The sequence below is a fragment of the Homo sapiens genome, chromosome 15 (genome assembly GCF_000001405.40).
Source record: "Homo sapiens chromosome 15, GRCh38.p14 Primary Assembly".
NCBI classification, from domain to species: Eukaryota; Metazoa; Chordata; class Mammalia; order Primates; family Hominidae; genus Homo; species Homo sapiens.
This window is the reverse complement of record NC_000015.10, coordinates 77,210,259-77,223,276: the sequence shown is the minus strand read 5'-3', so window position 1 is coordinate 77,223,276 and position 13,018 is coordinate 77,210,259. Positions and strand designations below refer to the sequence as shown.

Here is a 13,018-nt window from a genome sequence, read left to right as displayed (position 1 = left end):
AGAACTGAAATAATAGAATACTGACTTCCAAGTTTGCTTCAAAAGGGCTCTTAGCAAGTGAATTCACAATTTACAGTATTAATCAAATGAGGGAAATGCATTAGAATATCTTGTTTCTGGAAGCTTTGTTGGCTATAGGCTAATTTCTAGCTCTTTAGACCAGTTTTGGCCGTCATTTAGTCACTAGTGACTTAATTATAATTAAAATTATTGCTTCTCAAATTTTCATATACATACTAAAGCATGGACTGATTCTAAATCTGGAGTGGGGCCTGAGACACTGCATTTCTAACAAGCTCGCAGGTATTACCAATGCTGCTAGTTCGTGGACTGTATTTTGAGTGGCAGAAGTCTAAAGAGTTGTCCTTGTTACCTGTGTCACCTGTCTTCTTACTCTGTTTGACTTTTTGCCTGTAAGATTAAATCTGTTTGCGCTTTATTTTGCCATTTTGAACTATTTCATAATGCTATGCTTTCTATGGCAAAGAAAATAGCCTCTGGAAGACATGCCCTTTTATTAGTGGGAGCTCCATGCTTTCTCTGGAGTTCCAGCAGGCTTTGTCTGGAGTTTGTCCAGAGGGCTATAGTGAAGGGACCCAGAAGAGCCTTTCATTGTTTCTGCTTGCAAGAAAAATCAATCACCAAGACCAGTTGATTAACAGAGATTTTCCCACTTAACTATCATTATGTGAAAGGAGTGTGGATTCTGCAGTAGAACCTGTGTGACCTTGGTCAAGTTACTTAATTTATTTGACTCTCAATTCCTTAGTCTATAAAATCAAAATAAAATGAAAATTCCTTAGTCTGTAAAATGCATAAGATCATTGGGATAATTAGTGATTAGCAGTAATATATATGAAACACTTGGATAGTATACTGTCTGCATTATAGTAGGCATTTAATAGTTAATAACAAACATCCTTGTCACTGAGTGGAATGAAACAAGCATTAAAAACTGTTTAATTTTCTCAGTGTGAGGCATTTCATTTGTAAGGCAGCAAACAAGAAGAGAGAAAGAAGGAGAAACAAATTTTGTGATTTGTTTTCTATGAAAGAAAAAGGTTAAATGTATGTTTTCATTTTTTTATGTTTCTACTTCATGTTTTAAAAAATTATTCATTAGTTTCCTTTGGAAAACTTGGGTCAAATCATTCTTCTGAATGTCCATTAGAATTCCTGTGATTCAGAAAAATTTTAGATCCTCAACTTTATTTTGAAAAAGAAAAAAAAAGAATTAATTCCATTCCATCCTAACTCACCTGAATTTTTGAGGCCAAGATATGCCCCAGTAGTGACATTCTTACTGTACTCTTTTACTGAGTATAGTATAGAGGAGAATCATCAGGAACACAGCTGGCACCTTGAGGAGCACGACTTAAAATTGGCGTTGCATGCTAAACCTGGGCAAGCCAACATTTGTTTGGTTAGTAATCTTTTCAGGCAGAGCCTTTGATTCGGCCCAAAATTCCTGCAGATTATCACAGAAGTATTTTTATTTGCAGCCAAAATCCTTCACAAAACTTCTTAGTACATTCTGAAATACAAGCATATAGGCTATAATGGTTTTTAAATTCCTTTTTCTCTCTCACATTAACTGGTTTTCTTATAGTGTGCCTAAAATGTTTGCCCAGTTAGGTGCTTCATAAAAGAGATTTTTTCCAACAGCACATGTGTTCCAGGATAACCTATTAGCTATATTATATAAATGGGAACTCTAGTTGATGGGATATTCATCTGTAAGAAAATATTCTCTCAGTACCCCTGGGCTTAGCAATACTATCATTTGTCTCACTTCAAAGCTAATTGAAATCAGCCAGCCTATGTTTCAAAATATCTACACGTATTACCAACCATCTGGCTGCTCACAAATGATGAAGACATTTAATATAAAACCTGGTTAATGCACTACCCTTTCACCTCTAGAGAAGAAATCTTGCCTAGGACATCCATAGTCTTACTTTAGTGTTGGTCTACAACAGGGCAATCATTTAGGTCCCCAAACTCATAATAATTTTATATAATCCCTCCCAAGTGACTGACCACGTGATAGATGTTAAAATGATCTTTGCTGGGCTCATTCACGACTGCAATGACAGAGTGGAAAGTTTATGTATAACCATCAGACCTAGAATATCTAGAGTACATTGCATGTGGGTAAAGGGCATATGCTACAGTTTTTTAGTAACTCGAACTTATTTTTTCTGATTATGAAAACAATAAATATTAAATGAATTCTATCCTCATAGTAGAATACTTGGAAGACATACATTTCCATTCAATATCTTGTTATTTATTAGTCTTTCAATCTTTTTTATTAAGTTTATATACATTGTTTTTAGCAAAACTAGGATTGTCTGTATTTAGTTTCTAATCTACTTTTTAAACCTAGTAATATTTTATGAACATTTTTCAACTAAGTAATCATCTCCATTTCAATAACTATAATATTCTCTCCTATCGCTATACTGTCTATGAGACATATAGATTGTCATTTCCCTGTCATAAAAAACACATAAGAAATATCTGAGGAAACTTATTCGTGCATATAGATTAATCATTGAACATATCATTGCCTTCCTTTAAATTCCTAGAAATTAATTGCAAGATAAAAAGACATGTGAATTTTTAATGTACTTTGTTTGCTTTTACTTTGTTTCATTTTTTTTTGCCTGGGGATGTTTTGATACATATTGCCTATTTTAAAAGCAGTTTGATAGATGATTAACTGGTTCCTCACCGTTTTTTTTTTTTTTTTTGAATTTTAGCTTGTATGAATTGTAGTGAGCTATTGTATTGGCAACATTATAATTAATTTTACTAAGGTATCTCAGGTAATTTCTCATATACCTATCAGCTCCAATCATATGTTGATAAAAGGGATGTATTGCGTAGTCAAGTAACATCTAAGTGGTAAGAAGGCAACTTTTAAAAGACATTTAATTTTTTCTGAAATGCCTTGAAGCTTCTGAGTAAAAGTTGCAACTTTTAAGTAAATCAAACCTCAATGCATAGTACATTTTTGTTAATCAACTCTCTAAAACCAAATAATTTTACCAAGACTGCATCATTTTTTACCAAGTTTCTCATGAAGAATTTTAACTGACAGTCTTTTCATTGAGGAGCACACTTTTACTCTTTTATCTACTAGCTAATTATGACCATCTTTTCTTCCTCCCGTCTTGCCCCACTTTGAAAAACAAAGTATCTTTTGCTTTTGTCATACCTAAATTGCTAACATCTGTAAATTCTTTTTGTGGAAGAGGGAGGAAATGTTGATGTCTGCATGCTTCTCAATATGTATTTAAAAATTTGCATATGAGTCAAAATAAAATTATTTAACAACTATTCAACTAAAGTATGGCCTATTAATAAATGAATTTTAGCATATAAAATTACTAGGGTATAAAATTATAGTAGAACCAATGAATTTAGAGTCTCAATTAGTTAAAAAGTGTGTTTTGAAGATAATGAGTACTTTTTAATTGCTACATATTGTTTTCAGTTGAGTTTTGTTCTTTGCAGTAATGGTAGCCAGAAAGTCATTTTTGCTTGTAGTATCTCAATCAAAAGATATTTTATTCTTTTTCCAGTCTTCACAGGCCCGACCCTTTGGTGTATGAGTACTGATGGGACTGCAGTATGGACAACCCCATAATTAGGCTTGCAATTATGGCAGCGTTACACTCTACTAGGAAGTAAATTTGAGATATAAGGTTGATTTTTAATTTAGCACCTATATAGGTATATCCTGACTAAAGAGTACCTGCTATATGGTAACTGATACTAAAGTCCTTATGATCACAGTATGTAATTGTCTGTTGTTTACCAAATTAACTATGCTCATACATATAAAGGGATTATTTTACATTGATTTGCTTGTATAATAGCCCTCACTATTAAATAAACAATGTGTACACTCCCTCCAAATAACTTTAAAAATCTTATCTTTTTGTGATAATTCAGATTATTGAAAAATTTCGGGGTCATCAATCATTGCTGAATCATCTCATTTCCAATCCTTCCTTTCTATTCTTTCTGCCGCTAGCCTAGTTAAAACCTCATTACCTCCCACCTGCACTTCTGGAACTGCCTCTTTATTATTCTCCTACCTCCAGTCATTGTCTGTATTGCAATTCATTATATACAGTATACATATATTAATCTTAATTTAGAATATAGATATGATTATGTTATCCTTCTGTCTAAAATATATATTTCATTAGCCATACTCTTAGATCTAGCTGGTATTCAACAATTTACATGATTTAATCCTAACTTCAAATTATATTATTGTTCATCTCACTGCATCTCACTGTTCATATGATTTCTTACCTTCATACCTTTCCTTGAGCAGTTTAGTATGTCATTCCTTTCTCCACACCACCCCCACACTCATTTGCAACCAGGAACTAAGTGCAGTCTGTGCAGTGTGAAATGGGTAGCAATGGCCCACACATGGAAAAACATATAGCCTTTCTGGTCTAGTGAATCAGAAAAGAGAAACTGGGAAAAAAAATAATGCAAAATATACCTGAGTGCAGTGGTGTGTGCCATTAGTCCCAGTTATTCAGTAGGCTGAGGCAGGAGGATCACTTGAGCTTAGAAGTTCAAGGCTTTAGTGCACTATAATTGTGCCTGTGAATAACCACTGTATTCCAGCCTAGGATACATAGTAAGACCCCATCTCTTTAAAAAAAAAAAGAAAAGAGAATTAAAGACCAACGTTCCTCATGAAAATAGAGGCATAATTCCTTAACAAAATGTTAGCTAACTAAATAAATAAAATGAATAATAAAATCATCCCAGGGTTGCAGTGTTGGTTTAACATCTGACAATCTATCAACATAATTCACCATTTTAATAGAATATAGGAGACCAAAAAAAAAACATGATTATTTCAATAAATGCGAGAAAACATTTGACAAAGTCAAATGACATTTTGTCATGATAAAATGTTTGTATCAAAGTAATGGGGAAACTTTAATATTATAAAGAAATTTCCTCAACCTGATTGAGGTTATCTACCAAAAAAATCTACAGATAGCATTATATTCATCTTTGATGATGAATAGCTCAGTGCCTTCTATCTAATGTCAGGAACAAGGCAAGGATGTCCACTTTTACCACTTTTATTTAACATTGTTCTAGAAGACTTATCCAGTGCAATAAGGCAAAATATAAAGGCATACAGATTGGAAAGGAAGAATTAAAACTAGCCTTATTTCCAGATGACGTGATCATATATGTAGAAAATGCTAAGGAATTTTTTAAAAGATACTAAAATAAATTTAGCAAGGTAGCATTATACACAGTCAATAGACAAAAATCACTTCATTTCTATATATTTGCAATACACATTTGGAAAATGAAATTTTAAGCAATTCCATTTACAGTAGCATCAAAAAACAAACTTTTTAGGATAAATTTAACAAAAAATATGAAGAGACTTCCAAAAGTTTGTGGAAATGAAAAAATATATAAACTTTATTTATTAACAAAAGCTCCATCCAGTTCAAAACACTTTTATAAGCAGTGATATCAGCCATTTAGTCTATCCCTAAAGAACCTGGGGTCCTGGGGATTTAACCACATCAATGCGGTATATTTTACATTATTAACTGAATAAAAATGAGTTGCCCAATTTTTTTAAGATTAGGAAACCAAAAGAAGTCGGAAGGAACCAAACCAGAACTATGAGGTAGATGCCTAATGAAAACTGTCAAAACATTGCTCTTGTTTAATGAGAAGAATGAACCAGGAACGTTGCTGTGGTGGAGGACTCTCTGGTGAAGCTTTCCCAAGCATTTTTCTGCTAAAGCTTTGGCTAACTTTCTCAAAACACTCATAATAATCAGATATTATCATTCTTTTGCCCTCCAGAAAGTCAACAAGCAAAATGCCTTGAGCATCCCAAAAAACTGTTGTCATGACCTTTGCTGTCTACCAGCCCACTTTTGCTTTGAATGGACCATTTCCACATCTTGGTAGCTATTGCTTCAACTGTACTTTGTGCTCCCCACAACCTGCCCTTTTTTTTTTTTTTTTTTTTTTTTTGAGACAGAGTCTCTCTTGGTCACCCAGGCTGGAGTACAGTGGCACAGCTCACTGCCACCTCGACATCTCATACTCAAGTGATCCTTCCACCTCAGCCTCCTGAGCAGCTAAGACTGCAGGTGCATGCCACCATGCCCAGCTCTTTTTTCTTTTTTGTATAGGCAGGGTCTCCCTATGTTGCCCAGGCTGATCTTGAACTCCTAGGATCAAATGATCCGCTTCAGCCTCCCAAGGTGCTGAGATTACAGGTGTGAGCCCCCGCACCCTGCCTGTACTTTGTCTTTAAGACCATACTGGTAAAGCCGTGTTTCATCTCCTGTACAATTCTTCGAAGAAACGCTTCAGGATCTCAATCCTACTTGTTTAAAATTTCCATTAAAATCTCTGCTCTTGTCCGCAGCTGATCTAGGAGTAATGGTTTTGGCCCCCGTTGAGTGGCAAGTTTGCTCAACTTTAATTTTTCAGCCAGAATTGTGTAAGCTGAACTAATTAGATGTCTATGGTATTGGCTATTGTTTCTGCTGCTAATCATGAGTCCTTTTCAATTAGGGCAGAACAAGATTAATTTTTTCCTCACAAATAAGTGTGAATGGACTGCCAGTGCAGGCTTTATCTTCAGCATCGTGTTGTCGCTTCTTAAAAGAAGTTATCCATTTGTAAACTACTGATTTCTTTGGGGCATTGACCCCATAAACTTTCATAAGGCATCAGTTACTTCACCATGCTTCCACCCAAGCTTTACTATAAAGTTGATGTTTGTTCTTGCTTCAATTTTAGCAGAATTAATGTTTCTCTGATAGGGACTCTTTTCAAACTGATGTCTTATTCTTCTTAACACCTTAAACTAGATCCCATTCAGACATGCTATCACAACTTAGTATGAGTTTATTTGGTGCAGAAAAATTTGAAAATCCATGCAGTTTTTCCATAATACACATTTTCCATGAACTTTTCGAAGATCCCTCATATTAAAGACTTACACACTGAAAATACAAAACGTTCCAAAGGGAAATTAAAGAAGACCTAAATAAATGGAGCAGTGTACTGTTTCATTGATCAGAGGACTCAAAAATTGTTAAGATGGCAATCCTCCTCAAATAGACATAAATTTACTGCAGTTTTAATCAGAATTGCAACAGGTATTTTGAAGATATGGACAAGCTGTTTTTAGATTTATATGGGAAGATAGCCTAAAATAGCTAAAACAATTTTGATAAAGTTGGAAGACAAATTACTTGATTTCAAGATTTACTGTAAAGCTGTAGTAATCAAAACAGTCTGGTATTGACAAAAATAAATATAAATATAAATATAAAATATATCTCAAAATTGATCATAAATCTACAGGTAACAAAGCTATTAAACTTGTACATGAAACCATAGGGAAATGTGTTTGTTACACGTGTTAGGCAAAAATTTCTTTAAAAGATCATTGGCTAGGTGCAGGGGCAACATAACGAGACTCCATCTCAAAAAAAGAAAAAGATAATCAAAAGCACAAACTAAAAGAAGTTATCGTTTAAATGTCCAGTGGGCCTTCTGTAGCCATGGGTTCTGCATCTGTAGATTCAACCAACCAACCACAGATCGAAAATATTTTTCTGAAAAAGGTTGGTTGTGTCTGTACTGAACATGTACAGACTTTTTATTGTCATTCCCTGAACAGTGCAGTGTAACAATTATTTACATTGTATTAGGTGTTATAAGTAATTTAGAGATGATTTAAAGTATACGAGAGTGTGCATAGGTTATATGCAATTACTGTACCATTTCATATAAAGGACTTGAGCATCCTCAGGGGTCCCAGAACCAATCACCCAGAGACACTGAGGGATAGCTATACTTTATCAGAATTGGGAACTAGCTTTTCGAAAGACAATTAAAAAGGCAATCCACAAACTGGGAGTAAATTTTTGCAAAGCCTATGTGATAAAGATCTTGTATCTAGAATACATGAAGTTTTACAACTCAGTAAGCAAACCCAATTTAAAATGGGCAAATGATTTGAACATGAACTTCACAGTAAATATATGAATGGTCAGTAAGCACATGGGGGGACACTTAACATCACTTATCTGACAAATGTGAATTTTAGCAAAAGACCAACGATACCAAGTGTTGATGAGGTTATGGAGCAATTGGAATTCTCATATATCGCAAGTGGGAATGCAAAAATGGTACACAGCTTTGAAAACCAATATGGTAATACCATATAAAGTTAAGCCACTCACCATTTGACCTAGCAATTCCATTTTAAGGTTGATATGGTTGGTTCTGTGTCCCCACCCAATTCTCTTGTCGAATTGTAATTCCCAGTGTTAGAGGCCTGGTGGGAGGTGATTGAATCATGAGGCCGGAGGACTCCCCCATTGCCGTTCTCATGATAGAGTTATCATGAGAGATCTGGTTGTTGGAAAGTGTGTGACACCTTCATCTTCACTTCTCTCTCTCCTGCTGGCCATATGAATATGTGCTTTCTTCCCTTTTGCCTTCTGCCACAGTTGTAAGTTTCCTGAGGCCTCCCTAGAAACAGAAACCTGTACGGCCTGCAGAACTATAAGCCAATTAAACCTCTTTTCTTTTCTTTTTTTTTTTTTTGGAGACAGAGTCTTGCTCTGTCGCCTAGGCTGGAGTGTAGTGGTGCGATCTTGGCTCACTGCAAGTTCCGCCTCCTGGGTTCACGCCATTCTCCTGCCTCAGCCTCCCGAGTAGCTGGGACTACAGGCGCCCGCCACCATGCCCGGCTAATTTTTTTTTTTTTTGTATTTTTAGTAGAGACGAGGTTTCACCGGGTTAGCCAGGATGGTCTCCATCTCCTGACCTCATGATCTGCCCACCTCAGCCTCCCAAAGTACTGGGATTACAGACGTGAGCCACCGCGCCCAGCCTAAACCTCTTTTCTTTATAAATTACCCAGTCTTGGGTATGTCTTTATAGAGGTATAGGAATGGACTGATACAAAGGTATTTACCCAACTGAAATGAAAACACATGCCCACCCAGGAATGTGTTCATGAATGTTTATAATAATATTATTCATGATAGCTGAAAACTGGTGAAGAATACATTGTGGTGTATCCATTCCATGGAATCATACTAGCCATAAAAAGGAGCGAAATAATGATACACACAAGATTAATGTATCTCAAAAACAACATGGTAAGTGAGGCAAGTCAAACATGACTACTATGTAGTATATAATTCTATTTATATGAAATTCTAGAAAAGGAATAGCAATAGTGACTGACAGCAGATTAAAGTGGTTATTGAGGCCAGGAGTTAGGGAGAAGGGATCAAGTGCAAAGGGACACAAGGACACTTTTTGAGTGAGGGAATTGTTCTATATCTTCATTGTTATGTTGGTTATACAATTGTATACAAATAATAAAAATTATCAAACTGTACACTTAAAATTGGTGAATTTTATTGTATGTAAATAATGTCTTAATAAACAAGAAGGAAAATAAATAAATCCTGTTCATCATGTAAGCCCAGGTTTGTGCCACCTATTTTTTGTTTTTGTTTTTGTTTTTTTGAGACAGAGTCTCACTCTGTCACCCAGGCTGGAGTGCAGTGATGCGATCTCGGCTCACTGCACCCTCTGCCACCTAGGTTCAAGCGAGTCTCCTGCCTCAGCTGCCCAAGTAGATGGAATTACAGGCAACTGCTACCACACTTGGCTAATTTTTGTAGTTTTAGTAGAGATGGGGTTTCACCATCTTGGCCAGGCTGGTCTTGAACTCGTGTCTTCGTGATCACCCACCTCGGCCTCCTAAAGTGCTGGGATTACAGTCATGAGCCACCGCGTCCGGCTGCCATCTGTTTTCAAAACCTTTATTTTTTCTACTGGAAGCCATGTAGAAATGATCTCTGAACTCCCAGAACTCTTTATCTGTAAATCTTAGGGTCCTAATTATCATTTTCTGTGTTTTGTCATTTTATGTATAAATTTCTACTCCCCTACTAGGCTAATTTCTTTGTGTATAGGGACCATTTTTTATTTTACCTTGATTCTCCCAAAGCCTAATTTTTGCATGTCTTTTTCTATTTCCTTTTCTCAAAAGCATTGCATAGAACATTATTCCAGTTAATGAAGGGTTCCAGTTAATTGGATTTCAGTCTTTTCTGACTGCAAACATACTGCTTTCAGAATACATTCATCTTAGGGAATTATGATCTTTCAGAATTTTCTTTATTCAAAAGATTTTTTTTTCAGATTTCAAGCTTATGTGTTCCTTTAAAAAGATGTTTATTGCTAATAAATGAAAAATTCACTTTTGCTAACACTGAACTTTAGGAGGTATTACATTGATCTTTATATAAGAGACATCAGGTATAAGAATTCAGATATCTCAAGCTGGGGTTTTGTAAAAGAGCTAGAAATGCTCTCTGATGAGATGTTTCTCATATCACTCTATAAAAAGCCAGGCTCATAACATTAAATCTGAATTAATTTATGACTTTTTCATAGGACTTTTGAGATAATATTGCCCTGGTTTGTTGTTTATAGATGACCTACATACAAGTATAGAGTTTAGTGAAGGGAGCAGATAAATAAAATGTCCTTTGGCCTATGTTGAATAGGAACAAGCAAACTTTAGAAAGAAAATTGATTGAATAAAACTTTATCAAATTCTGTTATGAGTCTCCGGTATGTCTGTATTTTGTCTTGTTGAGTCCAGAGGAGATCCATGTGCTTTAGATGACACAATTGTATAAATAGCAGAGTTGATATTTATTTTAAAATTTAGGAGACTGACTTACCTTTTTTCCGAAAGTTAGGGCTATTCCACTTCCCCAAGTAAGCAAGGCTAATTTTTTATTTTCTCAAAAGGAGCTTTAAATCCAAATAACTTGAACAAGTAGTTAACTGGACCAACAGTTCTATACCAAATATACCAAAGAGGTCATTGAATCTGAGATATTATGAATTAGGAAAAGTACTAAAAAGAGAACCTTGGCCACTAAAAAACCTGGGCTGAATTCCCAGCTTAGGCACCCTAATGGCTTTAATAGCTTAACCTTGGAGGGAATGTTCACTTTCCCTGAGTCTGTTTCTTCATCTATAAAATGGAAATGAAAAATCTTTCTTTATAAGTTTATTTTGAAAATTCAATGATTATATATTTTAGTTTCTAGAACATCTTCATATCCAATAGTTATTAGTTCTTTCCCATACTTGATCATAAAGAAAACATAATGTATGAGTCTTATAAAAGGATAAGATGAGGAACTCAGTAAATAATAATGAATAAATGTTTTATGAAAACACCAGAGAAGGAAACAGTATTTTGCATTTTTAATCATGATAAATTTTGAATATAAATTATGATCAAACATCTTTACAGTCACTTTTTTTTTTTTTTTTTTTTTTTGAGATGGAGTTTCGCTCTTTTCTCCCAGGCTGGAGTGCAGTGGCGTGATCTCGGCTCACTGCAACCTGTGCCTCCCGGGTTCAAATAATTCTCCTGCCTCAGCCTCCTGAGTAGCTGAGATTACAGGTGCCTGCCACCATGCCTGGCTAATGTTTGTATTTTTAGTAGAGACGGGGTTTCACCACATTGGCCAGCTGGTCTCAAACTCCTGACCTCAGATGATCGACCCACCTCGGCCTCCCAAAGTGCTGGGATTACAGGCGTGAACTGCCGTGCCTGGCCTACAGTCACTTTTATTGAATAATAATTATAGCAGTCATAAGTCATTATTTTATTTTGCTCAGCATTTGTATGCTGAGTGATTTTGCTGTTAATAAATCAACATTATTTAGCCAGAATTGAACTCACCTCCATGGTATCTTAGTGGAGCCGTAGAACCTGTACTACCCAGAATTTCATCCATGTTTAATATTATATGGTACATCAAGCCACAGTATTCCTTTATTTGTGTAAACTTAATAGTTTGCTGAAAGTTCATTTTAAAAATCTATTGTTTTGAAACACCTTATAAGATAAAATAAGCTTACATGCCTTGCGAAGTAATATGCTGTAACACTAGGGACAGTATACTTCTTGTATATGGGCCAATTTTAAGTACTTTAGGTTTTACAGGGCATAGTCTCTGTTGCAACTACTCAGTTTGCCTTTGTAGCACAAAAGCAGGTATAGGCAGTATGTGAATGGATGTGTTTGCCTGTTTTAATAAAACTTTCTTTACAAAAAGAGATGGCAGACCAGATTTTACCCATGGGACATAGTTTGCTGATCTCTACTGTAATAAAATAGCACAGATCTAGAAGTAGAAAACCCTGGAGATAATCATTCCTGACATAAACTAGCTGAATATTGCTAAAAACCCAAATCATTAAACTTCCTTGTGAATTTTGTTTTTGTTTTTTGAGACAGAGACTTGCTCTGTCGCCCTGAGCACACAAGGCCAGAATGCATTGGTGCAGCCTCGGTTCACTGCATCCTCCACCTCCCAGGTTCAAGCCATTCTCCTGCCTCAGCCTCCTGAGTAGCTGGGATTACAGGTACCTGTCACCATACCTGGCTGATTTTTGTATTTTTACTAGAGATGGGGTTTCACCATGTTGGCCAGTCTGATCTCAAACTCCTGACCTCAGGTGATCTGCCCACCTCTGCCTCCCAAAGTGTTGGGATTACAGGCGTGAGCCACTGCGCCCAGCCTGAATTTATTTTCTTAATCAATGATTTCTCTTCCTATTCCTTCAGATTCCTATTTAAATTTTATCTTTGGTCATCAAAAGTTTTCTGGTTTAAAAGACACTTTTTCCTGAAGGATATGGAGGTAATCTAAGGACAAAATCAGTGTAGAGTCTTGACTTTTTACTGGATTTAAAATGGACTTTTTACTGGATTTAAAATGCTGGGTTTCAAATGAATTACATATATATTGCTTCTTCCCTTTGGGAACTTTGAGATCTAAAAGAACTTCAACTTTATGATCTGCAAGAACAAACTAATGACTTGTCCATCAATATATTACCAATAACTTTAGTGATAGAA

General features: G+C 35.5%; 1 protein-coding gene across 34 annotated transcripts in view; it reads left to right on the top strand.

Moving 5' to 3' along the window:
* The window catches only part of PEAK1 (pseudopodium enriched atypical kinase 1), a 320,261-nt gene that overhangs the window by 197,638 nt on the left and 109,605 nt on the right, over nt 1–13,018 (top strand). The window lies entirely within an intron of this gene.